Source organism: Homo sapiens, chromosome 19 (assembly GCF_000001405.40).
Source record: "Homo sapiens chromosome 19, GRCh38.p14 Primary Assembly".
Classification (NCBI taxonomy): Eukaryota; Metazoa; Chordata; class Mammalia; order Primates; family Hominidae; genus Homo; species Homo sapiens.
In genome coordinates this window covers 39498665-39513311 of record NC_000019.10, presented here as the reverse complement: position 1 = coordinate 39513311, position 14647 = coordinate 39498665, and the positions used below count along the sequence as shown (strand labels likewise).

At 54.2% G+C, this 14647-nt stretch overlaps 1 protein-coding gene across 2 annotated transcripts, besides 3 other annotated features; it reads right to left on the bottom strand.

Moving 5' to 3' along the window:
• DLL3 (delta like canonical Notch ligand 3) lies at window positions 4843-14365 on the bottom strand. 2 transcript variants are annotated; one of them, NM_203486.3, is made up of 9 exons: window positions 14269-14365; window positions 13839-14120; window positions 12640-12697; window positions 10255-10497; window positions 9024-9241; window positions 7861-8083; window positions 5694-6273; window positions 5398-5482; window positions 4843-5060 (listed from the first exon to the last, which is right to left on the bottom strand). In NM_203486.3, exons 1-9 carry the CDS (start codon window positions 14335-14337, stop codon window positions 5055-5057), a joined length of 1764 nt encoding a protein of 587 aa, NP_982353.1. In that variant the 5' UTR covers window positions 14338-14365; the 3' UTR covers window positions 4843-5054. The 2 variants fall into 2 exon arrangements, with proteins under 2 accessions (NP_982353.1, NP_058637.1); NM_016941.4 differs by having other exon boundaries at window positions 4843-5482.
• Window positions 5742-5891: a silencer, noted in NCBI's record as "silent region_10610". NCBI's record gives its function as "represses an Ori minimal core promoter by ATAC-STARR-seq in GM12878 lymphoblastoid cells {active_cell/tissue: GM12878}" and the evidence as "EXISTENCE:reporter gene assay evidence [ECO:0000049][PMID:35858748]".
• Window positions 6072-6171: a silencer, noted in NCBI's record as "silent region_10609". NCBI's record gives its function as "represses an Ori minimal core promoter by ATAC-STARR-seq in GM12878 lymphoblastoid cells {active_cell/tissue: GM12878}" and the evidence as "EXISTENCE:reporter gene assay evidence [ECO:0000049][PMID:35858748]".
• Window positions 10215-10594: a silencer, noted in NCBI's record as "silent region_10608". NCBI's record gives its function as "represses an Ori minimal core promoter by ATAC-STARR-seq in GM12878 lymphoblastoid cells {active_cell/tissue: GM12878}" and the evidence as "EXISTENCE:reporter gene assay evidence [ECO:0000049][PMID:35858748]".

Genomic DNA, 14647 nt, shown 5'->3' with positions numbered 1-14647 from the left:
GCTGCCATGAGCTATGATCACACCACTGCACTCTAGACTGGGTGACAGAACAAGAGCAAGACTATGTCTCTTGAACAAAAACGAAAAGCCTGGTGGCCTGGATGTGTGCCATGAACAAAAAAGAAACCTGTGATTGTGTAAGTCAGTAAGATTTGAGGGAAATTTGTTATTGCAGCAAAACCCAACTCTCTTAGTTGGCTCAGGCTGTTATTAAAAAAAATACTATAAACTGGCTTAAACATTTATTTCTCATAGGTCTGGAGATTGGAAGTCTGTGATCACGGTGCCAGAAGGTTGGGTTCTAGGGAGGGACCTCTTGCAAGTTGCAGACCACCAACTTCTTGCAGCCTCACATGGCAGGAAGAGAGCCAGCTAGCTCTCTGGCTTTTTTTTTTTTTTTTTTTTTTGAGACGGAGTCTTGCTCTGTCACCCAGGCTGGAGTGCAATGGCACAATCTCAGCTCACCGCAACCCCCACCTCTCAGGTTCAAGCAATTATCCCACCTCAGCCTCCTGAGTAGCTGGGATTACAGGCACTGCCATCATGCCCAGCTAATTTTTGTATTTTTGTAGAGATGGGGTTTCACCACATTGGCCAAGCTCGTCTTGAACTCCTGACCTCAGGTGGTCCGCCACTGTGACCCACCGCGCCTGGCCATTTTTTTTTTTTTTTTTTGAGACAGAGTCTTGCTCTGTCACCCATGCTGGAGTGTATTGGCACGATCTCGGCTAACTTCAACCTCTGCCTCCTGGGGTCAAGCGATTTTTGTGCCTCCACCACCCAAGTAACTGGGATTACAGGTGAGCGCCACTATGTCTGGCTAATTTTTGTATGTTTTTGTAGAGACGGGGTTGGTTTCACCATGTCGGTCAGGTTGGTCTCAAATTCCTGGCCTCAAGTGATCCACCCGCCTCAGCCTCCCAAAGTGTTGAGATTACAGGCATGAGCCACCGTGCCCAGCCTCTGGCTTCTTATATGGGTATTGATTTGGTGTGGATATTTTTCCCCTCCAAATCTCATGTTGAAATGACCGCCAATGTTGGAGGTGGGCCTGGTGGGAGGTGTTTCGAAGCGAAACCCTCAAGAAGGTCTTGGTGCCCTCCCCACAGTAATGAGTGAGTTCTCGCTCTGTGAGTTCCCTTGTTCCCTCGAGAGCTGGTTGTTTAAAAGAGCCTGAGATGGAGAATGGATGAATCCAGGAGGCGGAGCTTGCAGTGAGCCAAGATCATCGTGCCACTGCACTACAGCTTGGGTGACAGAGCAAGACTCTGTCTCAAAAAAAAAAAAAAAAAAAAAAAAAAAGAGCCTGAGACTGGGCGTGGTAGCTCACTTCTGTAATCCCAGAACTTCGGAAAGCCAAGGCAGGCAGATTGCTTGAGGTCAGGAGTTCGAGACCAGCCTGGCCAAAGTGGTGAAACCCTGTCTCTACTAAAAATGCCAAAAAAAATTAGCTGGTATGGTGGCACACACCTGTAGTCCCAGCTACTTGGGGGGCTGAAACAGGGGAATTGCTTGAATCTGGGAGGTGGAGGTTGCAGTGAGCCGAGATTGTGCCACTGCACTTCAGCCTGAGCAACAGAGGGAGGCTCTGTACCAAATAAATAAATAAATAAAAGAGCCTGGCACCCCCCTCTCACTCCCTCCCTTGCCATGTGATGTGCTTGCTCCCCCTTCACCTTGTATCATGATTGGAAGCTTCCTGAGGCCTCAGCAGAAGCAGATGCCAGCACTGTGCTTCCTGTATAGCCTACAGAGCCATGAGCCAAAATAAACCTCTTTTCTTTATAAATTACAAAGCCTCAGAAGCCTCAGCTATTTCCTTTTTTTTTTTCTGAGATGGAGTCTCGCTCTGTCACCCAGGCTGGAGTGCAGTGGCATGATCTCGGCTCACTGCAACCTCCACCTCCCGGGTTCAAGCGATTCTCCTGTCTCAGCCTCCCAAGTAACTGGGACTACAGGTGCCTGCCACCATGCCCAGCTAGTTTTTGTATTTTTAGTAGAGACAGGGTTTCACCATATTGGTCAGGCTGGTCTCAAACTCCTGACCTCAGGTGATCCACACACCTTGGCCTCCAAAAGTGCTGGGATTACAGGCATGAGCCATTGTGACCAGCCCTTTTTATTTTATTTTTTTGAGACACAGTCTCACTCTGCCACCCAGGGTGGAGTACAGTGGCACCACCACAGCTCACTGCAGCCTCAACCACCTAGGCTCAAGCAATCCTCCCAGCTCAGCCTCCCAAGTAGCTGGGACTACGGGTGAATGACACCACACTTGGCTGATTTTTTCAATTTTTTTTGTAGAGATAGGGTTTTGCCATGTTGCCCATGCTGGTCTCGAACTCCTGGGCTCAAGTGAGTCTCCTGCCTCAACTTCCCAAAATTCTGGAATTACAGGTGTGAGCCACCATGCCTGGCCTTAAGATGAATCTTCTAGGCCAGGCTCGGTGGCTCATGCCTGTAATCCCAGCACTTTGGGAGACCGAGGCAGGCGGATCACCTGAGGTCAGGAGTTCAAGACCAGGCTGACCAACATGGAGAAACCCCATCTCTACTAAAAATACAAAATTAGCCGGGTGTGGTGGCGCATGCCTGTAATCCCAGCTACTTGGGAGGCTGAGACAGGAGAATTGCTTGAACCCAGGAGGCGGAGGTTGCAGTGAGCCAAGATTGCATCACTGCACTCCAACCTGGGCAACAAGAGTGAAACTCTGTCTCAAAAAAAAAAAAAAAAAAAAAAAAAAAAAAAAAAAAGGTGAATATTCTAGCCATCAAATTGTGAAGAAAGAGAAGGAAATTCATGCTAGTTTCACTGTCATACCTCAAACTGCCAAAGTTTCCAAGGCCACAGGGTGTGATAAATGCTCAGTCAAGATGGGAAAGGCATTCAGCTTGTAGGTAGAAGACATAAACAGAAATGTGTTCAGATTGCATTCGGTACTATCAGCAGCTTCAGGCATCCACTGTGAGTCTTGGAACGTATGCTTCAAGGATTACGGAGGGCTACCATAATCTTTTTTTTTTTTGAGATGAAGTCTCACTCTTGTCCCCCAGGCTGGAATACAATGGTGCGATCTCGGCTCACTGCAACCTCCATCTCCCAGGTTCAAGCGATTCTCCTGCCTCAGCCTCCCGAGTAGCTGAGATTACAGATGCGTACCACCATGCCCGGCTAATGTTTTGTATTTTAAGTAGAGACAGGGTTTCACCATGTTGGCCAGGCTGGTCTCGAACTCCTGACCTCAGGTGATACGCCCGCCTAGGCCTCCCAAAGTGCTGGGATTATAGGCGTGAGCCACCGCTCCCAGCCCACTGTAATCCTTATAATTACATAATTACTGTCACGGGTGCTTTTTTTTTTTTTTTTTTTGAGACAGAGTCTCACTCTGTCACCCAGGCTGGAGTGCAATGGAGTGATCTCGGCTCACTGCAACCTCCGCCTCCCAGGTTCAATTGATTCTCCTGCCTCAGCCTCCCAAGTAGCTGGGATTACAGGTACCCGCCACCATGCCTGGCTAATTTTTGTATTTTTAGTAGAGACAGGGTTTCACCATGTGGCCAGACTGGTCTCAAACTCCTGACTTCAGGTGATCCACCCGCCTCAGCTTCCCAAAGTGCTGGGATTACAGGCATGAGCCACCGCACCCAGCCTGCTCTTTGGTTTTTGGTGTAAATTTGAATTACTGTCTGAGGTTACCTGCTTTCAGACTAAGGAGTTTCCTTATTTCTTGTAAGATGGTCTGTCAGTTTGCCTGCCTGACACAGTACTCATTTCTGGGAACAAACTGATCTGAGGGGAGCAGGGACACCCCATCACCTATATATTCCATGTGATCTGGGCAGGCTGACGTCACTCCCTACCACACAACAGGCAATAAGCAAGCCTGGCCAAATCAGAGGAAGCCATACTGCCTGGAGACTGGTTTAGGAGGGCCTACCAACGAGCCAGGGCCAATGAGAGATTCCCCACAGTGAAATCAATCAAGGGGTAAGAAGAGGCAACTGGAGAAAGACCAAGAGCCCCAGTCCATTGCTGCTGGAAACCATATCTACCCCTAGGATTTTTCCATTTTATGAGCTAATGCGTTTTTTGTTTTTGTTTTTTTTGAGACAGAGTCTTGTTCTGTCTCCAAGGCTAGAATGCAATGGCACAATCTCGGCTCACTGCAACCTCCACTTCCCGAGTTCAAGCAGTTCTCAGCCTCCTGAGTAGCTGAGATTACAGGTGCCTGCCGCTGCACCCAGCTAATTTTTGTATTTTTTAGTAGAGATGAGGTTCTGCCATGCTGGCCAGGCTAGTCTCCAACTCCCGACCTCAGGTGATCCACCCACCTCAGCCTCCCAAAGTGCTGGGATTACAGGGGTGAGCCACCACGCCCGGCCACTAATACATTTTTTTTTAAAGAGACAGGATCTTGCTGTATTGCCCAGGCTTTAGTGCAGTGGTGTGATCATAGCTCACTGCAGCCTCAAACTCCTGAGCTGAGGCGATCCTCCCGGCCTCAGCCTCACAAGTATGTAGAACTACAGGTGCGCCACCAGGCCTGGCTAATTTTGTTTTAATTTTTCGTATAGGGGTCTCGCTGTGTTGCCCAGCTGCTCTCCAACTCCCAGCCTCAAGCAATCCTCCTGCTTCAGCACTGATCTCACTCAGTGGTTCAGTGGGATTACAGCCGTGAGCCACTGCACCCAGCCATAAATTCTTTTATATTTAAAGCAGTTTGAGTCGTTTCCGACCCCTACAACATAAAGAGTCCTGTCTACTATTCTCCTCAGGAGACAAAATCTCTTCCCCTCAGCCCCAACATCAAATACAAAGCATTCAGCCTCGTTAGTCAAAACTGATCACAATAATAGCCTTTATAGGTGTTTCTAGAGAGATGGGGTGAGAAAAAATAGGATATAAATAACCATTATTTACAACTTGCAACAGTAAAGTTCCCCCAGACACCCCTTCAAGATTGAACTCCAAAGCCTCTGGGGCAGAGACTGGGCACCACCGAGCAAATACAAAAATCCACGCTCTGACTCCAGGTGCGGATGGAGGAGACGCGTCAGGCCTAGAAACAAAATGAGTAGGAAGCATTAGAGAGGCTGCCCCTCTGCCTCCCCTGCCTCCCCGCTGAGTACAATCAGTGGAAAAGCTCTGGCGGAGTCGGCATCGTGACCTCCTCAAGCCCATAGGTTTTTCAAAGAGAAGATGGCAGGTAGCTCAAAACGATAAGAGGGATGCAAAATAGGATGAAAGTAAGTTAGAACTGAAAATGGGCTTAAAACCTTCCAGAGACTCTACCCAATTCATTTCACGGACAGAATCGAGGAAGGGTAGGGAAAAAGCAGGTGCTGCCTCTGCCCAGCGCGCCCAGTGTGTAGCGGGGGGAAAAGGGGCGTCGCTACCTCCCGAGCGTAGATGGAAGGAGCAGATATGACATAAATCCCTTGAGGGTCTACATCTTCAGGGCGATTCCAATCTACGGACGAGCTGTGGGAGGAGAGAAAGAAGAAAAACTCAGACTCTTTAAATTCTCAGATCTTGTTTTCCCCTACCCATCACAAAGGGGAACCCAAAACCAGCTACCGGGGTAAGAGAGACCGACCAGGGAAATGCATCAAGGAATCGGGCCAACTGCACCACGGAGATGGGTAAAAGCAGCCAGCAGCGCAAGGCGTTCGTCTGTGGCGCAGCCCCTCACCTCGGACCATCCCCGGAACCCTCCTGCGTCCTTAGGTTGTTGAGTGCATCCGGGAGTGCGTGGACTGACGGCTCCGGGGTCCCAGCCAGCAAGCGAGACCCAGCATCCTGGGAGTGGCCACGGCGGCGCACGTGGACCAGCAAGAGCGCAGCGCCGGCCACGCCCGCGGCCACGAGCAGTCCCAGAGCCGGAGGCAAAAGGTAGCGCTGAGGGTCCCCGGGCCTGAGGCCCGGCGGGGCCGCGGGCAAGGCGCTTGCGCCGTCGGGGTGCACTGGGAACTCACACCGCGCTCCCATGTAGCCGGGAGCGCAAGCGCAGACGAGGCCGGAGAAGTGGGCGTAGCAGCGGCCGCCGTGAGCACAGGGGCGCGCGGCGCACGGGTCCGCGCGCTCGCGGCAGTCGCGGCCGCCGAAGCCCAGCGCGCAGGAGCAGCGGTGCGCGCCGCCGCCCTCCACACACGTGCCGCCGTTAGCGCAGGCGCGGCCCGCGCAGTCGTCCAGGTCGTGCTCGCAGCGAGGACCCGCGAAGCCGGCGCGGCAGCGGCAGCGCAGGGCGTGGCCCAGGTCCAGGCAGAGTCCGCCTGTGGGGAAGGGAGCATCAGAGGGCGCAGTCCGGGAGCCGGGGACCCACCTGCCCGCGCTGTTTCCCAGCTCTGTCATCGCTGCACGGGGTCCCCTTTTTCTCTCTAACTTAAGGGCCAGCGTCTTGGAGTGTGCCAGGAAAGCCAGCTCGCTTTTCTTCCTAATGAAGTTTTGGAATAATTAATTCAGCTCCACCTCTTTGGCTCTCGGTGCCCTTGTCTCTTTTTCCTTCGGCTTCGATCATACTTCAATAGTAGACAGCTCCCAGAACTACGTGTTTGAACCCTCTGGCCTTCCTCTGCCTAGAATACCCCTCCTCTCTTCCCTTCCTCCTTTTCTCACATTTTTTCCCACCTTTTCTCTTCCCTAGCCCACCCCTCAGGTTTCTACTCCGATGCTCCTTCCTCCATCCCAGCCCTGATCACTGCCCTGTGCTCCTACATCACAGCCCTGACCACCCACCCTGGGCTCTGTCTGAGGGTGTCTGTCTTCCCCTCTGGGCTGGTTCCCCCAGGAGGGTGCGGCCCAGAGATGTCCTGGTCGGTGCTGAGTCCCTAGTACCACACACCCCAGAATGAACACTCAGTGTTTGGGAGAGAATTATTGTATTCACTCGCAAGAAGATACACAGCCAGCCCTTTACATTCATGATCTTTTTTTTTTTTTTTTTCGAAACGGAGTCTCGCTCTGTCGTCCAGGCTGGAGTGCAGTGGCGCGATCTCGGCTCACTGCAACCTCCGCCTCCCGAGTTCAAGCAATTCTCTGCTTCAGCCTACATTCATGATCTTACTTAATCTTTTTTTTTTTTTTTTTTTTTTTTTTTTTTGAGACAGAGTGTCACTCTGTCGCCCAGGCGGGAGCGCAGTGGCATGATCTCGGCTCACTGCAACCTCCGCCTCCCGGGTTCAAGTGATTCTTCCGCCTTAGCCTCCCGAGTAGCTGGGATTACAAGCACCTGCCATCACGCCCGGCTAATTTTTTGTATTTTTAGTAGAGACGGGGTTTCACCATGTGGCCCGGGCTGGTCTCCAACTCCTGAGCTCAGGTGATCTGCCCGCCTCGGCCTCCCAAAGTGCTGGAATTACAGGCGTGAGTCGCCGTGCCGGGCCGCATTTAATCTTTTAGCACCGATATCAGGTCTCTTCTCTCCTCAGAACCTTCCTGTGGCTCCATCTCACTCAGGGGAAAAGTGAAAGTTCCCCTTCTTGTGACCCAGGGGGTCCCACAAGATGTGCCTCAGTCACCTCCCTGACCTCATCTCAGTATAACCACACTGGCTTCCCTGCTTATCCTCAGCACACCAGGCACCTCAGCTCTATCAGGCAGGGCCAGGGACTTTGTCTGTTTCATTCCCTGCTGTATCCTCAGTGCCTAGAATAGGGCCTGGCACACAGTAAATTCTCAGTAAATATTAATAGTTATGAGATAGGGAATGTCTCCTTGCCCATTTTACAGGCTTGCAGGTGGAAGGTCAGGTCCCCAGGCCCTAGGGTTAGAAGAGTCAAAGCCAGGATTCCAACCCTGGACTGTCTGAGCCATCCAGGACCCCCACCCCATCCCTCGCCGTTCAGGCCTCCAGGCCTCACCATTGCGGCATGGCTGCAGGCTGCACCGGTCCACCCTCTTCTCACAGTTGGAGCCTTGGAAACCGGGTGGGCAGTGGCAGATGTAGGCAGAGTCAGGGTCTGCACCCCCGACACACAAGCCGCCGTTGAAGCAGGGTCCATCTGCACATGTCACCCCGCTCACCTCACACCGCAGCCCGTAGAACCCACGCGGGCAGGTGCATTCAAAGGACCTGGGTGTCTCCTGGGCAGGGACAAGAGTACTTGAGAAGGGTGTTTCCTTGGAGAAAAATCCCATCCCCCTCCTCAGTCCTAACCACTGGGGGCTGCTCCTTGTCCAGTCTCAAGTCCCACTATGCAGGGGCCACCCTGGGAGGTCCTCCCGACATCCCCTCGATCCACTCCACATTCTTCTGTCTGCCCATGTGACCCCAGAGGGAGGAGGCTCTGGGGACCCAGAGTGACCCCATTCCCACCCCTACATCTTTGCCTACCAAATGCTGCCTGCCTGGTCTGCCCTGCTCGCTTCTGTCTACACTGACGAGTCCTACTGGGAGGTCCTAGATCTCAGCCCACCTCCTCCAGGAAGGCTTCTCTGGATCTCTCCTTCCCAGGGCCTCTCCCTAAGTATTTGAACCCTGAGTGTGGCAGTATCCAGGTGGCCCACACTGGACCCTACTCTATCCCAGCACTCCATGCCAGGCTCACTCACTGCCACCTCTGCACCCTTGCTCCCTGCAGGCCACTCACCTGGCCACCCTCTCTAATCACGTCCCAGAAGCCCCAGCCCCGGGCCACCTCCAGGAAGCCTTCTCTGATGTCTCCACCCCCTGTGCCCGCAGATCCCAAATCTCCAACCTATTTGGCCCCACCACCCACTACCTTGGGCCCTGAATCGTTCTCAGTCCCGCAGTAGGGGCAGCTGTGGCCCCACACGGCTCCTCATCATTTCCACTCCTGCATCTTTCGGGGCCACCCACTGAGCCTGCTCTCCCCAGTCCCATCCCCATCACCTAATCCTACTTCAAGGCCCCAGATGCCGGCTGGATGCCTCCAGGAAGACCTCCCTGATAGTTATTCCCAGATCTCCTCCCCAGGCTGGTGTCTCATGGAGCCCCAGGGAGAGGGCTGTGGCTCCCAGGGTAAAGTACTAAGCAGGACAAGGTGGGAAGGGTGACACTGACACTACAGCTGCCTCCATTGGCACACGGGTTCCCGTCACAGGGCCCAGGCCCAGGGACAAGGCATCCGGTGGTAGCAGAGGACGGGCCCCTGGGGCTGAGGCAGCTGCTGGTGGAGACAGGGACCGTGCAGAGGGGTCCAGTCCAGCCCTCTAGGCATCGGCATTCACCGGGCTGTTCACAGAAGCCATGCTCAGGGCTGCAGCCTGCTCGGCACACCACTATGGGGGACAGAGAGGCAGAGAGAAAGGGAACACCAACGTCGGGGAGGGCCAGGGACAAGATGGAAAGCAGGGAGGTTTCTGAGCACGTTCCCTGAGCCACCTTGCTTCATCTTTGTGACAGATAATCATCGGGACTAGATGGTACTGTGACCGCCCCCCCAGTTTACAGATAGGGAAACTGAGGCCCACAGAGACGAGGTGACCAGCCCACCTAGGAAGTGGAGGAGTGATGATGTGAACCCAGGCCATCGGGCTGGAGTCTGTGCTCTTGGAAAGAGGATGGGACAGGGGCACCCAGGTGAGATCGTGAGGATAGGAGACAGTGAGGGGATTTGGGATTGGTGGGGGGACCCCTGGCCTTTCAGGGAAGATGGGAGTGTATTGAATTAGGGTGGCTCTGAGAAGATCTGGATTAGCCTGGGAGTCCTAGGGGCCTTGGTGGGGCTCTGAAATTTGGGGAGAAGTCTGAAGAATTCCAAGCTTTAAGAAGCCATGGGTTCTGGCCTGCAACCCTAGGGAGGGAGGATGGAGGGCCCCTTGGCCAGAGTGGACTGGGAGGAGATTCCAAAGCTTCCGAGTGGGAGTCGGGAGGGCCGCAGAATTAGAAGAGCTTTGGAGTCCTAGCATCAGGACAGGGTGTGAATGTGGGTTAGGGAAGGAACTGGAGGGTGCCAGCATAGAAAATGGACGTGGGCTTCCGATTTGGGGCAACAAGAGGGCTGGGAGAGGGAAGGGGGCTCGAGTAGCAAGGCAGGGCTGGAGAGAGGTCCAGGGTCCTCAGTTTCTCCGAAGGTGGCAGCTGGATGGTGGGCGGGGTTTGGGATACATCCGCAGCAGTCAGCGCGTTCCCCAGCTCCCTGAAGAGGGGTGCCTGGGGTACATGGTGGGGGACTCTAGAGTACCCTGAAGAGGGTGAGTGGGTTGTGAGAGGGGACTGGGGGCCGCGAGTGACGCTCAGGAGGGGCCGGGGTCCCCGGCTGGGACGGGGTGGGGTCGAACGCAGGACTCACGCGGCGCCTCACATTCGTCCTCGAGCGGTGCGCAGGGGCGCAGTCCCGGACCGCACCGCGAGGGGGCGCTGCGCGGACGGCAGAGGCGCGTGCACGCGGTCCCGACGGCAGGCGGCTCGCAGCGCGCGCGGTACGAGAAGCGCAGCTCCCAGGCGCCTGCGCGCTGAATGTCCCGGGCCCACGGGCCTCCGGCTGCCAAGCGCCGCCTGCCAGCCACGCGCGCCAGCAGGCTCCAGGCGGGCCCTGCGAGGACAGGCAAAGGAGGGGTGCTGGGGTGGGCCCGGCCGAACATGGATGCATACGGAGCGCCCCGGCCGCATTCTCCCCGCCCCTCCCAGCGAGGCCAAAACACCCTCATGGAGCCCTGGGGTCCTTGGACCTCGCGAGTAGAATGGCAGTCACCCTCTACTTTAGCAAGGCTGCGAACTCCCCAATGCACCCTGGGACCTGCAATGTCGTGGTCCTTTCTAGTACTCTAGGTAACATTTCTCTCAGCCAAGCATGGTGGCTCAAGCCTGAAATCCCAGCACTTTGGGAGGCCGAGACGGGTGGACCACCTGAGGTCAAGACCAGCCTGATCAACATGGTGAAACCGTCTCTACTAAAAATAAAAAATTCTTTAAAAAAATTAGCCAGGCGTGGTGGCACGCACCTGTAATCCCATCTACTCGGGAGGCTGAGGCAGGAGAATCACTTGCACCCAGAAGTGGAGGTTGCAGTGAGCCGAGATCGGCCATCGCACTCCAGCCTGGGTGACAGAGCAAGACTCCCTCTCAAAAAAATAAAAATAAAAAATAAACAGTTATCTCATAGAAACCGTAATACTCCTGTATTTTGACCCAGATATTTGTTTTTTTTTTGTTTGTTTTTTGCGACGGAGTCTCACTCTGTCGCCCAGGCTGGAGCGTAGTGGTGTGATCTCGGCTCACTGCCAGCTCCGCCTCCCGGGTTCACGCCATTCTCCTGCCTCAGCCTCCCGAGTAGCTGGGACTACAGGCGCCTGCCACCACGCCCGGCTAATTTTTTTTGTATTTTTAGTAGAGACAGGGTTTCACCATGTTAGCCAGGATGGTCTCAATCTCCTGACCTCCTGATCCGCCCGCCTCGGCCTCCCAAAGTGCTGGGATTACAGGCGTGAGCCACCGCGCCGGGCCTTGACCCAGATCTTTGTAAATTGAAGTAATGATGAGACCTCTAACACCCTGTGACATTTGGTACCTCCATATGGCCAAAGAACAATAACATGTCTGAAGTGAGGTCATAACACCCCTAAATTGTGCCTCTGGATCTTCCTATATCAAAATAGTCACAGAGACCCCAGTTACTAGACCATAAGTTACCACATTACCTGAGACCTTGGGATACTGGGAGAGTGACACTTTCTTGAAGGCAAAGGTGTCACCCCCCAAGATTGTGACACAGCTTTCTACATCAGAACGGTGAAGAAGTGGCTCACTCCTATAATCCCAACGTTTTGGGAAGCCAAAGCCTGTGGATTGCTTGAGCCTAGGAGTTTGAGACCAGCCTGGGCAACATAGCAAGATCCCATGTCCATAAAAAATAAAAACAAGAAAAAAAATGGTGACAAAACCCCCGCTGTGGGCCTTACATAGCAACAGAGTCTCCCAAGTTGAGGATAGGAATGCCCTGTATCCCTCCCAGGAACCTCTGCTCAATATTCGCCTTGGTGAAGCTCCAACATCCCACGGGGCTCCCTGGGATGTCCACATGGACAAGGTGACAGAGCTTCACATAGGGGCCGAGCGTGGTGGCTCATGCCTGTAATCTCAACACTCTGGGAGGCCAAGGTGGGTGAATCACGAGGTCAGGAGTTCAAGACCAGCCTGGACAACATGGTGAAATCCTGTCTCTACTAAAAATACAAAAAAAAGTAGCCAGGTGTGGTGGTGGGTGCCTGTAATCCCAGCTACTTGGGAGGCTGAGGCAGAAGAATTGCTTGAACCCAGAAGGCAGAGGTTGCAGTGAGCTGAGATCATGCCATTGCACTCCAGCCTGGACGACAGAGCAAGACTCTGTCTTGGAAAGAAAAAAAAAAAACTTCACATAAAAGAACCAGAAGTAATTCATATCGCACCCTGAGCTCTCAACATCAGATGATAAGGTAGGGCTGTGAAATGCTACACTCTGCTCTGGAGCCTTGATAGTAAGAGAGCTTCCCCTACTTCGTCTGGTACCAGAACCACTGCTACATCCAGTACCAGGGACATTTCTGTGCCTGAGATGCCAAGAGCCCTGGAGCTGTCAACACTCAGCACCACATCCCAGGAGCTGTGATGACATCATAAGACCTATAGATAACACCACCAACCCCGTGTCTCACGTGGGCCCCAGCTCCCCACCAGTCCCAAGACTGAAGACACTCACCTCCAATCTGGTCTCCTAACTCCTCTCTCCAGGTTTCGATGATGAAAGAGAAGGTGCCCTGGTTGGGTGAAGGAAGGGGGAGATGAAAGATGAAAGACAGTGGTTAGGGTAAGTACTCAATGAAGGCCAGAGTTCAGGAATGGAGGGTGATGGCCATTGCTGGGGACTGAGCAAGCAAGGGACAATTCCCAGAGGGACCAGACCAGCCCAGGGAGGGAATGACATCTGTGGCTTTTTTTTGGGGGGGGGGGGAGAATCTCACTTTGTCAACCAGGCTGGAGTGCACTGGCGCAATCTTGGCTCACTGCAACAACCTCCGAGGCTCAAGCAATCCTCCCACCTCAGCCTCCCCAGTAGCTGGGACTACACGCGCATGTCACCATGCCCTGCTATGTTTTTTTTTTTTTTTTAGAAACGAGGTCTCACTATGTTACTGAGACTGGTCTCAAACTGCCGGGCTCAGGAGATCCTCCTGCCTAGACCTCCCAAAGTGCTGGAATTACAGTGTGAGCGACTGGACGTGGCTTGCTTTATTGAGCACTTACTACGTGGTAAGCACTTTATTCAAGAGATGTGGTTGAATCGCTCAAAAGGGACCCTTGTGAGGTACCAGGATGATCCCATTTTTAAGCTTAGGAAACTGAGGCTGGAAACCAGGCAGTCACTTGTCCAAAAGGACAAGGGTCAAGCATTGCAATACAGGTCTGTTCATCTTTGTGCCTTTGGGTTGTGGGGGTGGGAGACAGGATTTTGGAGGTGAAAGAGTAATTAATACAGGACCCAACTGAAAGAACTGAGGACAGAAAAAAAAAAAAAAAGAGAGAGAAGATATTAGTGGTCCCCAAGACAAGGTGTGAGAGGTTTGGGGATAAAGATGAGGACCACAGTTTTTAGGGATCCCCAAGGAGCAGAGGTAGGGTTCCTTGAGTTTAGGATTTCAGAGCTTGGGTTTGAAATTCTGGGAATTTGGGGTCCCAGCATCCAGGGTTGGGGAATCAGAACATTTAGAATCCCCAGTGTGTAGAGTTTAGAGGTCTGTGAATGTGGGGTTCCAGACGGTAGAGTTACTGGTCTGGGAATTTCGTCCACCCCCTGGGAGGCAGGATTAGGGTCTTGGAAGCTGGAGGGGAGAGGAGGTGGAGGTTTCGCTGGCAGGGTTAGGCCTCCAGCACCGGGAGTCCCCCGGGGGCAGCACTTACAGGCCAGGCGTCCCGGAAGGGCACCTGCAAGAGGCCGTCGGGCAGTGGGAGATCAGGCGCGGGCGCTCCGGGCTGCTCGGTGTAGACCGGTCCGCGCGCACTCAGCGCCGCGCCCAGGGCGCACGGGGACTCGGCGGCCTCCTCTGAGAGCCCAGGCTTCAGGCAGACTCTGAAGAAGAGGCGGCAGGGGAGCCGGGCGCTGCAGGGGGACCGCGGGGCCCCAGGGCCTGGACCCGGCCCGAAAGAGTGGATCTGCAGCTCGAAGACGCCAGCGGGCCGTGTCTGGGACGGAGACGGGCGCAGGGTGAGGCGGCCGGGAGGACCCAGGCTTCCCGTCCGCCCCACGCTCCTTCCCCAGGACCTTCAGGTCGCACTCACCCCTCCCCTCCGCATTCATCCCTTTCCACGCCACCTCCCACCTGGCTCTGACCTGGGGGAGGAAAATGAGCGCTAGGATCACAGTCTGGGAGAGGAGCCCGGACATCCGTGGGGAGACCATGGCCTTCTGGTGGGGGGGTCTCGGGAGTCGCAGCTGCTGGCTTCCAAGCCTTATATCTGAGAGAATGGCCCCGCCCCTTCAGGCAGCTACCCGGCCCCAAGGGACCAAGGGCGGGGCGGGGGGGGCGGTCACAGGGGAGGGGGAGCGTGCAGGAGCAACAGCGAGATTCCGTCTGTGGTCGTGGGCACGAGCGAGGTCATGCGTGGGTGATCCCGCGACTTTTTGTGTGGCTAGGGTGGGGTGGGGTTAGGGGGCTAAGCCTGTGTGTGAGGTTGTACATGATTTTAAGATTTTGTGTGTGTGGTATGAA